The sequence below is a fragment of the Homo sapiens genome, chromosome 5 (assembly GCF_000001405.40).
Source record: "Homo sapiens chromosome 5, GRCh38.p14 Primary Assembly".
In the NCBI taxonomy this organism is placed as follows: domain Eukaryota; kingdom Metazoa; phylum Chordata; class Mammalia; order Primates; family Hominidae; genus Homo; species Homo sapiens.
In genome coordinates this window covers 52,921,899-52,943,951 of record NC_000005.10, presented here as the reverse complement: position 1 = coordinate 52,943,951, position 22,053 = coordinate 52,921,899, and the positions used below count along the sequence as shown (strand labels likewise).

Here is a 22,053-nt window from a genome sequence, read left to right as displayed (position 1 = left end):
TGGGTGCTGCGCCCCACCTGAGTACTTTCCCTGTGACCTGGGAGGACTTTGGATCCTCCAAAGCAACCAGAGCCTGACTCTGAGCTGCGGGGTGTCCTGGAGACCCAGAGATGGCATGTCCGTCTCAGGAGTACCAAGCTGAGATCTATGGCTGGCACTCAAGTAGGGGAGGAGCCCCCATCTCAGAGCACTGAGATGGGTAACAAACATGGATTCGTGGGCCAGCGTGGGCCAGCACTGGAGTAGGGCATGACTCCCTCCACAGGGCTGGTTCGGAAAAGGTGTCACCTATCTACCTGCCATGGCCTCTGCCCGAGAGAGCCTGTGGCCCAGAACACCTAACAAAAGAAACATGGGTACAGTGCCAGTGATTGGAGGAGGCCTCTCCCTACCCACTGCAGAGCACCCCTGCAAACATGAGCAAATACAAGAGTGGCAAGACTAAGAGCCTATCTACTGCCCATTACCCTTAATTGCCCTCTACTGGATCACAGCTCAAACAACAACACCAAAAATTACTTTGCTAATAAACACTCCTGTGAGCATACACCCACAAATAAAGATCCTGTACAGAGACTTGGCCCTCTGAAAGCATCCAGAAACAAACCCAAATGACTACACTCAACTTACACCACAGTTGAAGAACATCAGTCCCCCAAGATGAGAAAGAATCAGCACAAGAACTCTAGGTAGAGACAGGCATCAAAGAAACATACCTCCAAATAATAAGAGTCATCTGTAACTAATCCTAGCCAATATCATACTGAATGGGCAAAAGCTGGAACCATTCCCCTGGGGAACTGGAATAAGACAAGGATGCCCACTCTTACCACTCCTATTCAACCTAGTACTCTAAGTCCTAGCCAGAGCAATAAGGCAAGATAAAGAAATAAAGACATCCAAATAGGAATAGAAGAAGTCAAGCTATCTTTTTTCCACTGGTAATATGATCCTATACCTAGAAAACCCTTAAGACTCTGCCAAAAAACTCCTAGAATTCATAAATGACTTTAGTAAAGTTTCAGAATATAAAATAGGGGTACAAAAATTAGTAGCATTTCTATACACCAATAATGTTCAAGGTGAGAGTCAAATAAACAACACAACTCAGGGCTGGGTGCGGTGGCTCACGCCTGTAATCCCAGCACTTTGGGAGGCTGAGGTGGGCAGATCATGAGGTCAGGAGATCGAGACCATCCTGGCTAACACAGTGAAACCCCATCTCTACTAAAAATACAAAAAAAAAAAAAAAAATTAGCCGGGCATGGTGGTGGGTGCCTGTAGTCCCAGCTGCTCAGGAGGCTGAGTCAAGAGAATGGCGTGAACCCGGGAGGCGGAGCTTGCAGTGAGCCAAGGTCGCGCCACTGGACTCCAGCCTGGGCGACAGAGCGAGACTCCGTCTCAAAAAAAAAAAAAAAACTCCATTTACAGAAGCTACAAAAAACACTGAAATATCCAGGAATACAGCTAACCAAGGAGGTAAGAGATCTCTAAAAGGAGACCTAAAAAACACTGCTGAAAGAAATCAGAGATGAGACAAATAAAAGAAAAAACCTTTCATTTAATATCATTAAATGGCCATACTGCCCAAAGCAATGTATAGATTTAACACTGTTGCTCTTAAAGTACCAACATCATTTTTCACAGAATTAGAAAAAACTATTCTAAAATTCATGTGGATCTAAAAAAAGAGCTCAGGTAGCCAAAGCAATCCTAAGTAAAAAGAACAAAGCCAGACCCATCACACTGCCTGACTTCGAACTCTACTATAAGGCTACGGTAATCAAAACAGTATGATACTGGTACAGAAGAGCCACATGGACCAGTGAAACAGAATAGAGAATTCAGAAATAAAGCCACATACCTACAGCCGTCTGATCTTTGATAAAGCCAACAAAAACAAGCAATGGGGAAAGGAATCCCTAGTCAAAAAATGGTGTTGGGATAACTGGCTAGCCATATGCAGAAGAATGAAACTGGACCCCTAACTTTCCCCATATATAAAAACTAACCAAGACAAATTAAAGATTTAAATATAAGACCTTTAACTATAAAAATATTATAAGAAAACCTAGGAAATACCCTCTCTGACATTGGTCTTGGCAAATAATTTTTGGCTAAGTCTCTAAAAGCAATTGCAACAAAAACAAAAATTGACAAGTGGGATCTAATTAAACTAAAGAGCTTCTGCACAACAAAAGACATTATCAATAGAGTAAACAGACAACCTACAGAATGGGAGAAAATAATTGCAAACTATGCATCTGACAAAGGTCTAATATCCAGAATAAGGAACTTGAACAACTCAGCAAGCAATCAATCAACAAATAACCACATTAAATAATGGGCGAAGGACATGAATAGACTCCTTAAAACATGACATACAGGTGACCAACAAACATATGAAAAAACTCTCATTATCACTAATCATTACAGAAATGCAAATAAAAGCCAAAATGAGGTAGGTACCATCTCACTCCAGTCAGAATGGCTATTATTAAGAAGTCAAAAAATAACAGAAAATGGTGAGGCAGCAGAGAAAAGGAAAAGCTTATACACTGTTGGTGGGGATGTAAATTAGTTCAGCCAGTGGAAAGCAGTTTGGAGATTTCTCAAACAACTTAAAACAGAACTACCATTCAACCCAGCAATCCCATTACTGGGTGTATATACCCGAAAGAAACTGTTTACCAAAAAGACACGTGCGGTCATATCTTCATTGCAGTGCTATTCACAACAGCAAAGACATGGAATTAACATAGGTGCCCATCAACAGTGGCCTGGATAAAGAAAATATGTACATATACACCATGGAACACTGCACAGCCATAAAAAAGAACAAAATCATGTCCTTTGCAGCAACATACATGCAGATGGAGGCCATAATCCTAAGCAAATTCCACAGGAACAGAAAACCAAATACCACATGTTCTCACGTATAAGTGAGAGTTAAGCCTTGGGTACTCATGGATATAAAGATGGGAACAGTAGACACCATGGACTACTTGGAGGAGCTGACAAACTACCTATTGGGTATTATGCCCACTACCTGAGCGATGGAATCTGTACCCTAAACCTCAATATCCTGCAAATATACCCATGTAACAAACTCGTGCATGTATACTCCCTGTATCTAAAATTAAAGTTGAAATTTAAAAAATGAAATTGCCAATATTAACAGTTAATGACATAAAAATAGCAACTTACTATAATCAAATTCAAAAATGGCAAAGTCATATGTTCAACTAAATACTTCCTGAGAAATAAATAATACAAAATACAATAAAAAGTTTTAAAGTAGCTTATTGTCAGACAGATTTGGCTTTATAAGGGGTTAAAAATGTCTTCATAGTCTCTACTAAAATACAAAAAAAAATTAGCCGGGCGTGGTGGTGGGCGCCTGTAGTCCCAGCTACTCGGGAGGCTGAGGCAGGAGAATGGCGTGAACCCGGGAGGTGGAGCTTGCAGTGAGCTGAGATCGTGCCACTGCACTCCAGCCTGGGCGACAGAGAGACACTCCGTCTCAAAAAAAAAAAAAAGAAAAAAGGCTTCATATATACCTATATATTATAAAATTATACATATAATAACAGTCTGATAAAACACAGTAAGTCTATGGTATATGTTAGCTCTTTCCTTTGTTACTGGGGTCAAGGGTTGCCACTTTATTATACTCTGTACATTAACTGAGTTCCAAAGTATTAAGATAAGTGCAAGCTTTGGTACTGGAAAGGTATTTATCTCTTAAAGTACAAAGAAAAAGGATAAGAGAGATTGAAAAAAGTATATCTCTCCAGAGGGGACCTTGGTAATATCTTAGTTCTTAACAGACAAGGAAGATGAGACACACATAGCTGGTTAAGTAGAGCTGGGGCTTGGTCACATCCTCTTATACTTCCAGTCGCACATTCTTTCCAAAAGCAGCACAGTGCCTTGCATATTCTAAGTGGTAAATGAATATTTATTGATATTATTCAATAAGTGCATAGAACTATGTATTTACTTACTTTTATAAAAGTTGGTTTCCACAAGATAAGCGAAACATTGACTTGGCTGATGTCAGAAGAAGTGAGATTACATGTGATGGTAGCAAATTTACATGTATTGCAGTCCTGTTTAAATGTCCAGAGATACATATCAGTATTCTTGCCGTTTTATCAAATATCTATATTTAAATTCTTCAGATGGTTATTTCTAGATTGATATCAATTTTATTCATTTGGAAAGCAAAAGGTAAAAATAGCACTTGTCTTAATTTACCAGAATTGTGCCTCGTTTGAGATGGTCAGTTGATGTAGTCATTTTCTTTCCAGAGTTGATACTGAAAGGATCCTCAAAGATATGGGGTCTGCAGTTTGCATTCTAGAAATGAAAATATTACATTTATCAGACAATGCCAGATATCAGAGGAAAAACATGACTTGCTGCAGTAGTGTAAAGAATCTGTGAATGACAGCCATTGCCATATATTAGAGATCCATCTTTGTAAGTGTGCTGTATGGGAAAGGTTGTTATGCACCAGCCATACATACATATATATCCACCCCAAGATAATATGTACTCTTACCATGCTACTTTTGAATTGTAATGGAAACTAGTGAGGTTGTAATGGAAAAGAAAGAATGCTAATAGAACTTACTATTACGTGATTAATACATTCATTATTACCTTAATCAAAGATAAGCTTATAAATTCTATACTACAGAGAGAGAAAAGCATTTAAATTCTACTGATAAAAACAAAAACAACGGCCAGCCACAGTGGCTCACACCTGTAATTCTAGCACTCTGGGAGGCCGAGGTGGGTGGATCACCTGAGGTCAGGAGTTCGAGACCAGCCTGGCCAACATGGTGAGGCCCCATCTCTACTAGAAATACAAAAATTAGTTGGGTGTGGTGGCAGGCGCCTGTAGTCCCAGCTACTTGGGAGTCTGAGGCAGGAGAATCATTTGGACATGGGAGGAGGAGGTTGCAGTAAGCCAAGATCGCGCCACTGCACTCCAGCCTGGGTGACAGAGAGAGATTCCGTCTCAAAAAAAAGGAAACAAAAACAACAAAAATACTTGTTCAATATTATGGCTCATGAAACAATTGAAAAGCGAGAGACCTTCATCTGTATTTATGTATTCATCCAGTAATACTTTTGATTCCCTACACACCAAGGATAGGACACTCAGTCTACATGGGAGGTAGACGTAAGCAGACAGCCCTATAGATGTTAATATATTATGTTAAAATGCTATATTTATAAGATAGCTGGTTCTAGACTTAACCTAGTAAACCTTTTGCTTCCCCAGTACTGTCAATATCCTTGACAAAAGTTAATAAGATTAAAGTTTCCTAAGCAGTATGAAAAGTACAATTTTTTTTTCTCTTCTGGATTTTCACAAACCTGCTTTTTTGGATTAGAGGGAAATTCCAAAGGCTTATTTTTTCCTTGCCCTTAGGAAAACATTTAAGTGATCACAAGCCAATTAGCATTGTTGCTATTTCTTGATTTCTGGGAACACTTTAAAAAATGCATGAAAAGACAGATTTCCAAATTCTGACATCATGCACACATTAATTCAATACTTATGGTGATTTTTTGTTTTAGGCACTAAACCATAATGAACCATCATATAGTCTCATTCAAGCTAAAAATATAAAGGGGGTGCAATATTGCTATTATTTGGGATGTGAGTAAATACAATTATACTATTTTGTTTGCAGCTGTGCATGCTTAGGTACAATTAAGAAGTCACTTTATAGAGTTGTTTGATTACCACAAATCAAGGAAAAGTGTAAGAAACATTTCATAACAATGAATTATTTAAAATCTACTCTAGTGGATTGAATAGTGGTCCCCAAAGATATGCCTAAATCTCCCTAGAACTAGTAAATATGACTTTACTTGGAAATAGGGTCTTTGCAGACATAATTATATTAAGGATCTCCAGATGAGATCACTCTGGATTTAGGGTGGACCCTAAATCTAATGGTGAGTGTGCAGAAACACAAAGAGAGAAGGAGAACACATAGAAACACAGAGAAGGCCAGGTGAAGACAGAGGCAGAGATAGGAGCTATGCTGCCGCAAGCCAAGGAACGACTAGGGTTGCCAGTTGTCACCAGAAGCTAGGAAAACAGCATGAGAAAGAGTCTCTCTTGGAGCCTCCAGAGGGAATTAACACTGTCAACACCTTGATTTTGGACTTCTGGACTCCAGAACCGTGAAAGAATAAATTTGTGTTGTTTTAAGTCACTCAATTTGTGATAATTTGTTACAGCAGCTCTAGGGAATAATACATCTATTATTATTTGCTTTTAATTATCTAAATACCTCTCCATGTTACTTTGGTAAAATTCTTTATTACAAGTATCATGCAGAACAAAAGGCTTAAACATAAAGTGGAAAAGATAACAGTAATGACATAATTCCAAGGCACACATGACTTACCTCAGAAGATGACAATCCAGTTGGGTACAGCACAGGGTAACCATTTGATGTCATATTGGGGAATGAAATTGACAGCTTAAGCTCTGGCATTGGAAAAGATCCACTTTTTCTAATCTACAAGAAAAAAATGGAAATGTAATCTTTCTTCCTCTTTTAATAGAATTCTTCTGTCTTATGTAGGGCTTTGTTTTCTAGCTGATGAAGTAAATTGTGTAATATTTTGAATCCCCAAACAAATGTAGATCCTTTATGGTGCTGTACAGAGAATTGGCATAATTCAGCCAGCAGAAAATATGGACACTTAATGGTCAGTAGCCGTATGTATCAGCTATAATCATATTGTTCCTCCATCCCCCATTCTCTTAATAGACCTAGGATTAACAGAAGACCAGAATTGGAAGTTTTTGTCTGTTATTATGTTCTTGCCATGCTCATTCTTTTCTTTTTCTTTCTTTTTTTTTTTTTTAACATACCAGTCTTTTTGAAACTGGAAAGAAGGGAGACCACGGAACAATTTAGATTTTTGGTTGCCTTTACCCAGTTTGCCATAATTCCTTAAACCCATAAATCATCTCTAATCCTGGCTAGATGGGATCTGCCACCACTATACAGGAAAACCAGACTCCCATCTGCTTCCCTTCACAATTCTACCCCCAGCTAGGGCTACCGTGACACTGGCTGTTGATAATCTGGTTTTATGAGAGTCAGATTTACTTTCATCTCAGTCTCCATTCGATTTTATCCACTAACCCAAAGTTTCCACTTAGTATCATGTTCTGCTACCAGTAGTGAGTGTAGCTCAGAGGGAAAGGTGGGCAGGATAAAGTTCAACAGGAAACTGAACTCACTATCCAGAGGTCCTTCCCTGCTTAAAAGGTACAACTGAACTGGGACAACCAGATGCAGTTGTCCCCTTCCTACTGCTGAAGCATAATCTGCAGGCCTGAAACCTATGGCATCCCTGTGCAGCTTCTTTAGCTGGGTAGGGAACGCCTTGATCTACATAGATAGACCCAAGGAAAGCCAGTGATCTACCCAACTGAGCCTTCCAGACTGAGAGCTCCTCAGATCTGAAGCAGTTTCCTGGGTTTGTAAAGACGAAATACATCCTTTAATTCTGGAATTCTGGAGGTTCCTGACCAGCTGCACCTGGACCCTTAAACATGCTCCCTAACTCTTATCTTCTTGATTTCCAGTCAAATTCTGTTTCCTGATATTCAGTTAGAAATCCTGTGTTCTGGCCGGGCGCGGTGGCTCACGCCTGTAATCCCAGCACTTTGGGAGGCCGAGGCGGGCGGATCACGAGGTCAGGAGATCGAGACCATCCCGGCTAAAACGGTGAAACCCCGTCTCTACTAAAAAATACAAAAAATTAGCCGGGCGTAGTGGCGGGCGCCTGTGGTCCCAGCTACTTGGGAGGCTGAGGCAGGAGAATGGCGTGAACCCGGGAGGCGGAGCTTGCAGTGAGCCGAGATCCCGCCACTGCACTCCAGCCTGGGCGACAGAGCGAGACTCCGTCTCAAAAAAAAAAAAAAAAAAAAAAAAAAAAAAAAAAAAGAAATCCTGTGTTCTGTAATTACCATTTTTTTCTGATTAAAAAATGTTCCTTGTAGAAACATTGGAAAATACTGAAAATAAACGTTTCCTATACTTCAACTACCTTGGTAACATTTTAGTGTAGGTTACCTGTCCTATTTGCATATATGCATATTTATAAAATTTGTAACACAATAAAATACAGTTTTGTACCCTGTCTGTAAAATGTATTATGCTATGGCATTTTCCTTTAAATGTATAAGTTTATTGAGAATATGACTGTTCATAACAACCACAATATCAATATTGTTGACTATGTGCCACATGCTGTGCTAATCTTCTTATATGCATTATTGCTTTTAACCCTGTTAACAACTGCAGGAAGCAGATCCTCATATTATCTTTGTTTTATCTATGAGGTAAGAAGGTTGGAATGAAAATTAAGAACTTCCAAGATCACAAAGCTAGTAAATAGCAGCATTATGGTTTCTTACTCCAAAATGTGCCTTCTAAAATATTACGTTGTCTCTCCATTGAATATATGATAATCTCTTCACTAAATATATGATAATGTAAGTAATTTCATTGTGTTAAGTGTTTAGATTGTGCCCAGGCTTTAATTTTTAAACTATTATAAATAATATTGTTAAGAACATCCCTGAAATCTTTGTTTCTATCACCAAAAATTTCCTAGGGAAAATTCCGAGCAGTAAACTTACCGGGTTTCACCTTAAAAAAAGTTCTTTTAAAAAACTCCTTTATTCCAATTCTAGAATTTACTTCAGCAAAATAATCAGAGATACACACAAAGTTTTATGCTCAGGAATATTCTTAGCAATGTAATTCATATCAACACTTTTATAAGAGAGAGTACCTATTTCAAATCTGGACCCTAATAAGTTACAATATATAAAGTTCTGCAACAAAGTCTTTTTGTTTTCTTTCTTTTTTTGCTGAATTTTCTAGTTCAGGGAAAGTGAATAGGGCTGGAGAAATCTGATAGCCTGAATTCCAAAAATCTGTCCTAGAATCCAGTAGAGTGATTGGCATTTATGCTAATTTCCAGGGAAATTAGCATAAATTGTCATAGGAATTCTAGCAAAGAGTACAAATTTTAAAAAATGAAATTAATCTTGGGAGTATACGTTTATTTATACTCTATGAGAGAACTTTTTTTTGTGGTTGGCAATTCCCAAAAGGATTGAGGCTGTCTTCATTTATAATTTTGTTGCATTATCTCATATTTTTGAATACATATTTAAATCCATTATTTGAATTGTGCTCTCTTTTTTCCTTGAGTGATTTTAACTTGAGTCTGTGTCAGTAACTAGGCATTACCTAAAATAAAATTCCGTGATTGTTTGCTATAGTGGTATAGAGTTTGTTATGAAGGATTTAAAAGGAAAAATAAATGTAATAGAAAACATCATTTAAGGAGGTGGTAGTACCAACATGAGTAATTTATAGTACAATGCATGTGAAAGGTAACAATAAGGAGAATGTGATACATACTTATTTGTTAAGTAAAAAAAATTGCCAAGACAATTGTGATAACAAATTTCTGATATAGTCATAATTAATGAAAAAGTGCTTTTCTCAGTCACACTGATAAAATAATGTAAGTAAAGTCTACAGGTTTATCGGTAGCATCTATCTAGTCCCATAGTTTATTTTTTTTTTCTAGAAAGTCATTCTAGTGGTATCTTATTTTGAGGAAATTAGAGGCTTAGATCTCTAAACTGATGTGAAAATATAATTACAACAAATTTAAATCTTCAGTGAAATTATAAAGAAAAATATAAATTGAAAATTATATTTATATATTATATGTCTATATTTATATTTATGAAATTATAAAGAAAATATGCTGGAATATAGAGATTAAACATTGAAGCAACATATTTTTATGTGTCTGTTAATACTTTAATTTATATATTTACAAATAACTCCTTTAGAATACTATTTTAGAGGTAATTTCTTACCAAGTAGAAGATATTAATTTCATTTCCAATGTCCTCAGTAGAATTAATAACTTCAGGGACTGTCTCATTGGCAGCAATTGAAATGTGGTATTCACTTGCAGAGCTTAAAAAATTAATTAGAAGAAAAATAAAACATAACAAAGTTTAACTTTTATTTGGCCTCATTATTTTCTTTCTCCATATCATGTAATTCCACAAAAATACTTGTAGGGATTTCAAATCATAGGGGAATTCATTTACCTTGAAACGTAAAATTAAATCTTTGAGGAGAGTGAGAAGGATTATGTAATTTAGTTCAATAGTCACTGATGCTTATTTGACCCCAAAATGCTAGAATATGAGTTTTAAAAGTTAAAATTTCATGGTTAACAAGTGAAAAGTTTCTGTAAATTCACTAATACCATTTATACCTAGTGAAAAATGAAACTAAAATGTAATGCTGAATTCTAAATAGATTAAAAATTTTTACCATTTCATAATTTAAAGTCCTATATTTACTGCTAAACTTAAAAGTTCAATCTTCTCTACACAGCTTCATCATGTTCTTTGGATGAACTTGGTAGAGTAAAATAGTATGTTTTTAAGCAGCACTTCAGTCAAGGGAAGACAAAAAATATTTATAAGTGTTTGCCAAAATTTGATTTTAAGTAAATGGAAAACTCTTGGGGAAAAGTCAGTGCACCAATAGAAGTGGATACAGAAAAATACAGAAAAGTGGAGACAGAATTTAAAGGCTGAGAAATATTAGCACAATCTACATGTATGTCCTATAATCATGCCATTTTTGTAGTCTCCATTTAGTAAAGAGAGAGTGCCATAGATAATAAATTATTAAGCCAGAAAGAAGATATTGAATGTTCCCAATACAAAAAAAAGATAAATGTTTGAGACAATGGATGTTCCAATTACCCTGTTTAGTTGCTATATATTACTTGCATCACAACGTCTCCAAGCGCCTTATAAATATGTACAATTATTACGTGTCAATTTAAAACAGTTTTTAAATTAAAAGAAAAAAAAAAGCATGTGAAATGGTTTAAACTAACACTTCCTGAATATATAACCTTGGGTAAATTAGCCTCTCTGAACCTCAAATTCTTCAACTGGAAAATGGAGATAGTAGTTGTATTTGAACCATAGTGTTATCATGAGGATCACATAAGACAGAACACAAAGGCTCAATAAATGTTAGCCACTATTATTAAAAAATTAATAAAATGATAAGACTTTTAGAATAAACCTACTTGCCACTGATTCTTATCCTTTTAAGTATATTGCACATGTTTATTTGGCAAAAGCTTGGAGTTCTGCTTAAGCAGGGGAAATTATAGAGGGAAAGTTTGTCAACATGGTTTGTGTTGGGATAGATAAGAAGTTCTTAAGAGAAAGAATGGTTTATGAATGGTGGAAGAAATAAACAGCTCTTATCAATGAGAAATGCTTTAATCTTGTGTGTCCAGATTGAGAAGACTGATCAGCTTCCACAGGATGAGAACGATGACCAAGAAATATGCTGGCGGCCTCTAAGAAAATATCGTGTTTTGCGAAGGACTTCTGGGTCTTCAACTTGCATTCGGGAATTAAGACTGGACAGCAAATGCAATCCGGTATCACTAACACCTAACACTTTGGGTTATTTAGTATAATGGTTCTCAAACATTAGGATGCATGAGAATTACCTGGAAGGCTTGTTTAACCCCATCCTCCGAGTTTCTGATTTGGTAGGTTTCTGGTGGGGCCAGAGAATTTGCCTAACAAGTTTCCAGGTGATGCTGATGCCCTTGGCCAGGCAGGGACCACACTTTCAGAACCACTGGGTTAATAGAAAGGCATCCACATAAAAATGTAGTTTTCTCCTACCTGTAAAACTGTAGTCCAACTTCATATTTTACCGGGATAGAAATGTTTACTACATTATCAGAAAGGGTTTCAGGAGGTTCTTCGCTGTCACTAGAAAATACACGGCACATTCAGACAAACCATTAAAATCTTGACTATTTAAAGACATTTCTAAGTGTTTGAAAGAGAAGCTTATCCTGGCAACTAAATAAAAGCATGTAAGAGTATAATTTTTAATCATTTTTTTAATTGGGGTGAAGAAGGAGATCAGAGATGATTGGTATGGTTGAAAGTTCCCAAGTTGATTCTGATGTGCGACTAGACTTGACAATCACACTGATTTATGTTTTTCAAAATTCTATGACAATATTGATAAGAATCCCTCAGTTTAATTGTTAAAATACAAAGGTTACTGGGCTTCCCTTAGAAATATGGATTTAGGGGTTCCAACTTGGGGTGCAGGAATTTCTGTTTTTAACCACATATCTGCCCCCAGGTGATGCTTATTTATCACAGATGAGGACTTAGTAAAGATAAGTGATTAGGGTCACACAGCTGAGAGTAAATCTAAAATCTTTTGTTTTCTTCTTTAATAGTCTTTCCATACTAAGTACTTGATGATCATATTGTTTGTTAAACACTGATTTATTCTCTTGATTTTGGTTATCATTTAAATTATATATTATGTAAACACATGTATATATGTGCATACACACATATACATACTTCCTCGTATTAGAAAACACATACAAATGATATAACGAGTAATGAACACTGGCTCTGGGGCCAGAGAATGAGATTGTTCTTGGACACTGATACACTTTGGTCAAATTACTTATCTGTCTTTGTTTTGGTTTCTTCATCTATAAAATGGGATATCAAATGAGTAATAAATGATGATTAAATTAGTAATAAGTATAAAGTGCTTAAGATTGTGCCTAGGACATAGGAAATATTCAGTAAGTGTTAGCTTTCATTATTATTTTACACATACCCCTCCACCAACTGACCAAGCACCTAACATATTGTCTCACAGAATGGGCATAAGAGTACTTTTTAATGGCTCTGCTTATTCCCAAATGTATAAAGTGGCTCATAAGCAGCAGGACAGAGAAAGCAGCATGCTGCCTTGGATTATAGGTATTTGTGTGACTCAGCTCTTAGCATGAATGGTCCCCTTTTCTCTCACCCATTCCACACTGCAGCCTTCCTAAATTCATCTCCATAAGCAGCAGCTCTGTACAGATGACTTTACCTCTCAAAAACTTTACTGGCTTTTCAAGGTCTGTTCAATTAAGAAATAATACCTTGACTGACATTCAGTACCTAGCGTAATATGATAGAATGCACACTCCCTGTTTATTTTCATTGCTACTTTATGTATTCTTTATATTTCAGCTAAAATTGATAACCTTTTTAATCAAGCTATATATTTTGCCTGAAATGCTCCACCTGGTGCTATTCAGTGACCTCTCTGTGAAATGCTATCTACCCTTCAAGGTCTTTCTCAATTATAAGTTCCTTGATAAAGCTTTCTTGGGTTCCCATTGCCAAGTAGATATTATTTCAGCTTCTATTAATTTTCTGACAAAGCTTTCTATCTCTATAATGGAGTGTTTTTATTCTATCCCAGGTTACAATAATTTTATACTAGACTCAACCCCCTACTGTAATACTTACCCTATGAGGAGTTTCATGCCCTTAGTAATTTTTATATTCCTTACAGTGACTAACTCAATATCTTGTGCATAATAGATGTCAAATAAATATTTGTTGAGTTGACTTGAACATACAGAATTAATTAATCCATTAATTCATTTCTCTAATTTATTCATTTCGTCTACATCTATGTAGTGATTATAATATGGCAGGCACAATGCTAGTCACTGTGAATAAAACAGTAAAAGACACCATCTCACTGCAGACAGGTCAGTGGATAATTACAATTAGAAGAAAGTTAGACCACTATTTCACTTTCCTTATTGAGCCTTTGCTGTTGTTAGTCTGTGTGTTCTATGATACCTTTCAGAAGTACTGACTGATTTGAATAAAGTATATTAAATTACAAAAGGATATCATAAAACTTTAAGTCCATCTAATGATTCATTTGACCTTGATGGGCAGCCAGTGAAAGTTTTTAAATTATCAGTAAATTTTTTATGAATTTAAATGCAATTTGGCAGATATAAATGATGTGTGATTATGGTATCTTCTATAGCTCATAGAACCATTGCTTTAATCTAGGTGAATTATTTCTATTAAATGAAAATTTCTTTATTTTGCTAATTATTCTTAAGGGTGTTTTTGTGAAGCAAAGTGGTTAATTGCCTTCCACTTCTACTGATCTCCTACAACCTGGAAGAAACTGTCAGTGAGTTTATAGAGCAAAATATTCGACATACACAGAAGAAGCAATATACATTCATATACATACATTTATACACATGTAAACCAACCTTGTTGCACTTAAATAAATGGTCACATTTTCCATGAGATAGGATGTGTTAAACTGAAACAATATTTTGAAAGTTACCTATAAAATAAAAATATGTCTTTAGTAACAGATAAGAAATTTACTTTGACTAAAATATTCAATTTCCATAAATGACATTACCTAAACTCAAATTATGAAGTTATTTGAGAAACATTGTCTTACAAAATGAAACCTTATTGTATCTCAAAATAGATAGAATAACATATAATATACATATTCTTTTTCAATGTGAATGTCTACCATGTTTTACATATTGCTATAATGTGAATGTTTCCCCTCAAAATTCATGTGTTGAAACCTAAACACTAATGTGATGATATTAGGAGATGGGGCCTTTGGGCAGGTGATGAGATCATAAGGGCAGAGCCCTCATGAGTGGGATTAGTACCCTTGTAACTCAGAATGCTGCCTTCCTGGTTCTGCTATCTCAGGATGCATTGAAAAGACATCTTCTATGAAGCATGAAATGGGCCCTCACCAGACACTAGATCTACCAGTGTGTTTACTTTGGACTTCCCAGCTTCCAGAACTGTGAGAAATAAACTTCTGGCTTTTAAGCTACTCAGTTTATAGTATTTAGTTATAGCAGCCAGAATAGACTAAGAAACATGTTAAGTAAAACATATAGGAGGTCATTGGTTTGGACAGCTCTTGCTCTAGGCCCAACAGACTAAATAATGCTTAAGTTCCACACCACAAAGCCGAAATTAAGTCATTTGTCTGACTTTTTGGGAGATGAGAAAAGTGAGAGATAATCACCAAATCCCCAATCAAGCCAGTTTCAAACAGCATGATAAGAAAATCCCCTCTGCTTTCACTTTTACAAGGAAAATAACTTTGAAATGACCAATCAACTTTTCGTTCTGTTTCTGCTTTCTTCAGCCCTTTTCTCTCTATAAAGTCAACTTCCTCTCCTCAGCTCATCCACCATTCATTTTATTTTACAGAATAAGGTGTTGCCTGATTCTAGAATTGCCAATAAAAGTCAATTGATATTTGGAAATTCAATTTGTTCCATAGAAAAAGAAAGCAGGTTAGTGGTTGCCTGGGCTTGGGAGAAAGGCTGTTGAGGAAAAACAGAGTGACTGCCAATGCATACGTGGCTTCTTTGTGGTGTGTGAAAATGTTCTAAAATCAATTGTCGTAATGACTGTACAATTTATAATTTGGTGAATATACTAAAACCCACTGAAATACACACTTTCAACGAGTGAACTCCATGCTACGTGAATTATATCTCAATAAGGCAATTTTTTTTTAGAAAGAGAGAGATGGAAGGAGAATTTCTGATTAAGTTCTAAACCAATCTATTTGAAGCATTCTTTTTCTTGAAGGCCAGAGACACCTACTACCTAGGAGACTCCAATAACAGAATTTCCCAGCTCCATTTTATCAGATATGTTATGTAGTATAAATTAGATATGTTATGTAGTATAAATTTTAAATCTTGTCTTGGTGTTCGAGTTTGCCTGTGTAAGAATTGTTACAAGGTTGTTAAATATGTTTCTGTTATTTATAAATACCTTGTACAAAATACCTTATACCAAGCATTTTATAAATAACAGAAATATATTGCTCACAGTTCTGAGGGTTGGGAAGTCCAAGATCAAGGCACCAACAGATTCAGTGTCTGGAAACACCCAGTTCTCATAGATGGCACCTGCTATGTGTTCTGACATGGTAGAAGGGGTGAGCAGTCTCCCTCAAGCCTCTCGTATGAGGACACTAATCCCTCATGGGGGCTCCACCCTCTGGACCTACTGACCTCCTAAAGGCCTCATCTTTTACTACGATCACATTGGGGATTAAGTATTAACATATGAATTTTGGTGGGGCACAAACATTCTGACCATAGCATATTCCAATCTGTCACAATTTTGAACTGAACATTTTTCATCCGTATTATCCTAAACTACCATTGGAAGGATTTATATATTTGTCTTTGCACATATTACTTTTCATATTCAATTTCTACATGTATTTTGTATGATCTGCTCACCATCTCTCCTCTTCTCAGGAAGGGATATCCAACTTTACATGTGATATTATGATTAGATTCACAACTGTCTTTTTGGATAGCCTAGGAAGAGAAAGCAAACAGAATCAGAGTGGACAAGCAGGTGAAATATTGATACGTGTTCTTTCAGAATTTTCCCAGATGTGTCTTGGTGACTGCCTTGCCACTATTTTTGTCTCGATTTAGCTGGAAGAGGCACAGAATTCTGGGACCAGCTGTTCTACACTCATGGAAATCCTAAAACATCACTTGTGGGTGCCTGAAAGACAAAGCATATCTCACAATCCTACCTAAGTTTTCAGTTGTAAAATGGAAGTACTAATAGCACCTCCCTCACAGAGTGATTGCGGTGGCTGGATAAAATAATCCAGACACCCAAGACTGGTGCAGAGCAGTCTTCAGTGAATGCTAGTCATTGGAGGAGTTTAGTGCAGTGGATAAGAGCATAGGCTCTGACCCGTGACCACCAGAATTTAAACCCTGACTGCACCACTGTTAGCTTTATCCTTGTTAAGATTCCTCACCTCTCTGGGACTGATTTTCTATCAAGTGGTTTAGTCATATACTCTATTTTTTCCAGTTTAAAATGCCATTGAACATGAGATATGCCATTATTTTTACATACCCATAAGAAGTAAAAATAACACTGCCACGTAAATAAACATGTTATCAATTGTAAAATGCAATTACAAGAATGTTGAAACATGAAAAAAAGGTTTTATCTTCGCATCTCTGCAGTACAGTCATACCTACTTACAAAAGAATTAATGAAAATGAAATAAGTGAAATCCTTAGTACAGGGCCTAAACCATGATGTGACTCAAGAAATGGTTGCCATCATTATTACTGTTGTTACTGTTAATATACACAGAAGAGATGCACTGTCAGATTTTTTAGCTATGCCTCTCTGCCAGGCCATTAAGTCAGCATAGGAGGATACAGGCAATAATTTTTACTAGAGAAAAATTCTGTGGTAATATTTTCCCCAAGATTACTTTGTACATTTGTATTTATAATAATAATAATAATAATAATTTTTTGAGACAGAGTCTTGTTCTCCCTCTGTCACCAGGCTGGAGTGCAGTGGTGCAATCTCGGCTCACTGCAACCTCCACCTCCCGGGTTCAAGTGATTCTCCTGCCTCAGCCTCCTGAGTAGCTGGGACTACAGGTGTGTGCCACCATGCCTTGCTAATTTTTTGTATTTTTAGTAGAGAGGGGGTTTCACCGTGTTAGCCTGGATGGTCTCGATCTCCTGACCCCGTGATTTGCCCGCCTCGGTCTCCCAAAGTGCTGGGATTACAGGCATGAGCCACCATGCCCAGCCTGTAATTAATATTCTTAGTTGAATCCAAAATATAGTAATATATGACATTATTTTTAGGTTTGTCTTAGTCATCATGTCTCTAAGTGATATCCTAACAGATAGAGAGAAACGTCCATGAAATCTGAGTTTACAGAAAGTAGACAATAGTGTTTTAATACTATGTATAATATTAATAAGTGCATTGCTTTTAATATAAATTGTATGTAATATTAATTAATATAAATATACACAAAATTTTAACTCAGTGGGATTCATTTGGAGATCAGAATTAAGAGCAAAGTTCACATTTGGAAACACTGATTACCTCTGATATAGCATCTTACACAGATTAATATATTTTATTGCCAATGTAATAAAAGAAACCTCTGTTACAAATCAATAAGACACAGTTATTTAATACAAATATCTTGCCAAAGTAAGGATTTTGCATAGAAAGGGAGATATGGTATCTTGATTTTCCTGCAGGTAAATTTTTTTTGCTTAACACAGAGGTACCTCTCTGTACGTCTGTTAACTGTTTTGGCTTTGATTGTTATTATTTTCCTTGACTCTGTTTCAGTTTCAGTGGTTTAAGGATTTTATGAAACACACAGTTTTTATACATGAGCTATCCTTTTCTCACACAGAATCTAAGAAAAGACATACATATTTGAATAAATAAAACAAAACTTTTTTAAAAAGCTTAATACTTTCACCATTGGTGAGGACTAATGTAAAAAATTCCTTCTATTCTTTCAAAATCAATCTAATAAAAGCAATTATCTCAGTAGCATGAAAAGTAGGCCAGGTAAATGATGTTAAGAGAACAAATAAATGAAAAACTGGAAGTTTACCTCAATTCCTGAAAAAACTAGATTTGGAGAATAATGCACTATTGTCCTGGTGTTATAGGCACTGTCCTTTGTATTTTTGACTGTGAGGCTAACGTTGAACTTATCATTCTGGGATCGGACAATCAGCAGGTCCTTTTCAGTGGTGGCGACATGCAGGCTGAGGTCTGAGATACATTTTTCCTTATTTCCACAATCTTTGGCAAAGGGAATCTGAAATGATGACAGGAAAGAATTTTTCAAAATTTAGCTACGCATTGTTGAAAATTACCCATCAATTTGTGTAACAAAAATGGCATACAGCCAAAGTAAGTTAAGCAACTCATAAGGAGAATTTCCCTGCAAAAATCTTAAGGGATTTTATATTTATCCCTGTAATTTATAGGGGAGAAGAGTAAACATTTACTTACAAATGTAAATTGTGCTTGTCCTTTTAAGAACGCACAATTTTCATGGGTGCTTTGCACTGGCTTTTGTCTGCCAGGGAAGGACAGTTTTGAAATACAAAGTCAAGTACTGCAAGATCTAAATCTACTCAACTCTAATCATGAGATTTTTCTCTTAAAATTAATCAAATACTTAGGAATATCATAAAGCTCAGTTGAGAGGGTGGAAAACGGTCAAGCCACAAATCTAGGAGTTTTGCTTGATTCTTCTTCATTGACCGCCTCTCCACCACCACCATATGTAACTCACCAAGCCCTGTCCATTCTACTCCTCTTCTAAATATCTCTCCAATCCTTTCTTGCTTCTGCAGTCCCACCACCACCTCACACCCAAGCATTCTCATTTCCTCCCTGAACTAAAGTAATAGCTTCCCACGGGGCTCCCACATCCACCTGTTTCCCTCCAACCACTCTTCACTCTGCTGCATCCTGTCGTGTGGCTGAACCAAATAAAAACCTTCAAAAGCACTGCACTGCTCTTTCAAAAGTTTAGAATTTGTGCAGTGGCACCAAGTCCCGAATGACCCGGCCCCTGCCTTTACCTCCGGCCTCACCTCACGTCACCTCCTTTCTTGCTCTTTAGCGTCAGCCACACTAGCGAATGTCGTTGTTTCCTTCATGCTCAGGACTTTCACACTTAGCATCCCCTCTGCTCCCCAAACTCCCCTAAATAGGGTGGAAATCACCCTATCCTTCAGGGCTCCACTGAAATGGCACAACTTCAGGAGGGCTGTCCTGACTTCTCAGCCTAGGTGGAAGTTCCTAGAGAGCTCTGAAATCCTCCTCCATAGCATATGCTCTAATTACTACTTAATACCTGTTTCCAGTGTTAGACTGTAAGCTCCAATGCCTGGTATGTATAAGACAATCAATATATCTGGTAGGAAGGAAGGGAGAATGGAAGATAGGTGTATGGGGAAAAAGAATTCCCCATCCCTCATATCTCTTCCATTGGAGCCACGCTAGTGACACCCTCCCTCTTCTCTCCCCTCACTCCACTCTCAGGGGTGGCACATGGACTCTAACTTTGGGAACAGGAACTAAGTGAACACAACTCAGTCCCTTTCTCTCATTTCTATTCTCAGAGCAGCTGTACCCACAGGAAGCACACATTTGGCTCTACTCCATTTGACAAGTTTTACAAGGTGGGCTCCATGAAGAAGGACAGAGATGGATCAGCACTGCTGATGACCTAGGTGGTTACTGGTGGTCTAAGTCCATGCTTCAGCGTGAGGACACCCTTTATACCTAAACCATACACTGCAATCCAGTGCTTATTAGAATAATGGGGGAGATTTCTTTCCATTGGTCCTAAATTCAAATGAGGTAAAAATGAGTGTCATTTATTAGTTTTCTTAAACTCCAACAATAGGAAATTAGAAGGATTGGAAAAAGTCTAGAAGAGCCTAATTCTTTTTTAAAACATTTTAAATTGATTTAGGGTTATGTGTGCATGGGTTTCAAGCTTTTTCCTAATGTTACCAGGGCAAACCTGGAGATATGGCTGAGAAAGTTTACTATTTTCTTGAAGAGTAGATAACTGAGAAAGTTCATTATTTTGTTAAACAGTAGATAGCTGAGAAAGTGCATTATTTTTTCTTAAACAGTTTTTTTTTTTCTAGTCTATTTATCTGTAGGTAAGCTTGCTGAAAAACAACTATAGACGGCCTGGGAGCTTCAGGACCCTTTGCCAATTACCAGAGGAAGATAAAGCCATTGAGAAAACGGAGCAAACAAGAACCAGCAACCCCTTGTTACCTTTAGATCATTAACATGTCATTATAATGCTAAAGTCCCTGCCATAGAAGAAAATGGCCACCATTTCTTGAACATATGTTGTATAAGGAAGCATGTTTATGAGCTGTACTTGTACATCTGGAGTTCCTCTCTGGACATGCTTACATATACCTCCCTGCCCCACATCTAACTCCTTAAAATTCCCCAGGTTTTCACAGCTTGAAGAGAAGGTCTTTAGAGCAAGAGCTCCCTCTTTCTCCATTCCTGACCAGGAATAAAATCTGCTTGCCTTTTTTTTCTTTCTTCCAGTTAGTTGTTCGTTCTTTGTGATCAATGCAGAGTAGTGAAAAAACACAGTTTACTAGTGACATTAAAATGTTCACAAGTTGGTATTTTGTATTTTAAAGAAATCTGACTTACATATTCATGTACTGAGTTTGGTAGAGAATCATCAAGAACAGGCCCATTTTCTGGATCGGTAAGATTAAAGTCCAACGTTATTCTCACAGAGTCCTGAAAGTCATGCTTGTCCTAGAGGGTGAAACATAAAATATATCACTGGTATCATATTTACCGGGTGTTCTGATCTTGTTATGTCTCCTTCTTCTGTTCCCAAGGGTCAGGCTTACTGCAGCATTCTTGTGCATCTAATCTGACATATGATCTCATCAGGCTTTTGCTTCCCTGGAGAGGGATTGGCATTCTGACAAGGGGCATAGGGGAATGTGGAGGTTTCAGAGTATGACCTGTTGACTCACTTCCAGTTCCTCAGAGGGCCCTGCTGGAGTGATGGCAACATCACACTTGGCTGTGTCAACATAGGAGCTACCTGCATCACAATATAGTTTTTCTTGAGACCTCAAGCCAAAGATCATTATGTAACACTTCCGGGAACATTTCCCAACTTCAGAAGGGCAAACTTTCTATAAAATGAGTTACATTTCATTAATATAATATATACCTACAGCTATAAGTTTTTGTTTGTTTGTTTGTTTGTTTGTTTGTTTGAGACAGAGTCTCTCTCTGTCACCCAGGCTGGAGTACAGCGGCACGATCTCGGCTCACTGCAACCTCCACTTCCCAGGTTCAAGTGATTCTCCTGCCTCAGCCTCCCGACTAGCTGGGATTACAGGCATGTGCCACCACACCCAGCTAATTTTTGTGTTTTTAGTAGAGACGGGGTTTCACCACGTTGGCCAGGCTGGTCTCGAACTCCTGACCTCAGGTGATCCACTCACCTCAGCCTCCCAAAGTGCTGGGATTACAGGCGTGAGCCACCATGCCTGGCCAAGAATTTTATAATGTAAAATTATTTGGAAAGGATGTGAATATGATTAATACTGTTAACATGCCACCAATAACAATAATCATTTATAGTATTCAAAATTATGAGCTTTATATACATTATT

General features: G+C 37.1%; 1 protein-coding gene and 1 long non-coding RNA gene across 2 annotated transcripts in view; one reads left to right on the top strand and one right to left on the bottom strand.

The window, feature by feature from the left end:
• ITGA2-AS1 (ITGA2 antisense RNA 1) overlaps positions 1–13,346 on the top strand; it is a 59,681-nt gene extending 46,335 nt beyond the window's left edge. Inside the window, exon 4 of the long non-coding RNA NR_186583.1 lies at positions 11,416–13,346. This is a non-coding gene — a long non-coding RNA (ITGA2 antisense RNA 1). The remainder of the gene's footprint in view (positions 1–11,415) is intronic.
• The window catches only part of ITGA1 (integrin subunit alpha 1), a 171,294-nt gene that overhangs the window by 15,258 nt on the left and 133,983 nt on the right, over positions 1–22,053 (bottom strand). Inside the window, exons 18-26 of the mRNA NM_181501.2 lie at positions 21,065–21,175; positions 18,465–18,674; positions 16,288–16,368; positions 14,251–14,327; positions 11,816–11,905; positions 9,956–10,058; positions 6,438–6,551; positions 4,261–4,362; positions 4,008–4,112 (exon numbers count right to left, since the gene is read on the bottom strand). Of these exons, the coding sequence (NP_852478.1) occupies positions 4,008–4,112; positions 4,261–4,362; positions 6,438–6,551; positions 9,956–10,058; positions 11,816–11,905; positions 14,251–14,327; positions 16,288–16,368; positions 18,465–18,674; positions 21,065–21,175 (993 nt within the window). The remainder of the gene's footprint in view (positions 1–4,007; positions 4,113–4,260; positions 4,363–6,437; positions 6,552–9,955; positions 10,059–11,815; positions 11,906–14,250; positions 14,328–16,287; positions 16,369–18,464; positions 18,675–21,064; positions 21,176–22,053) is intronic.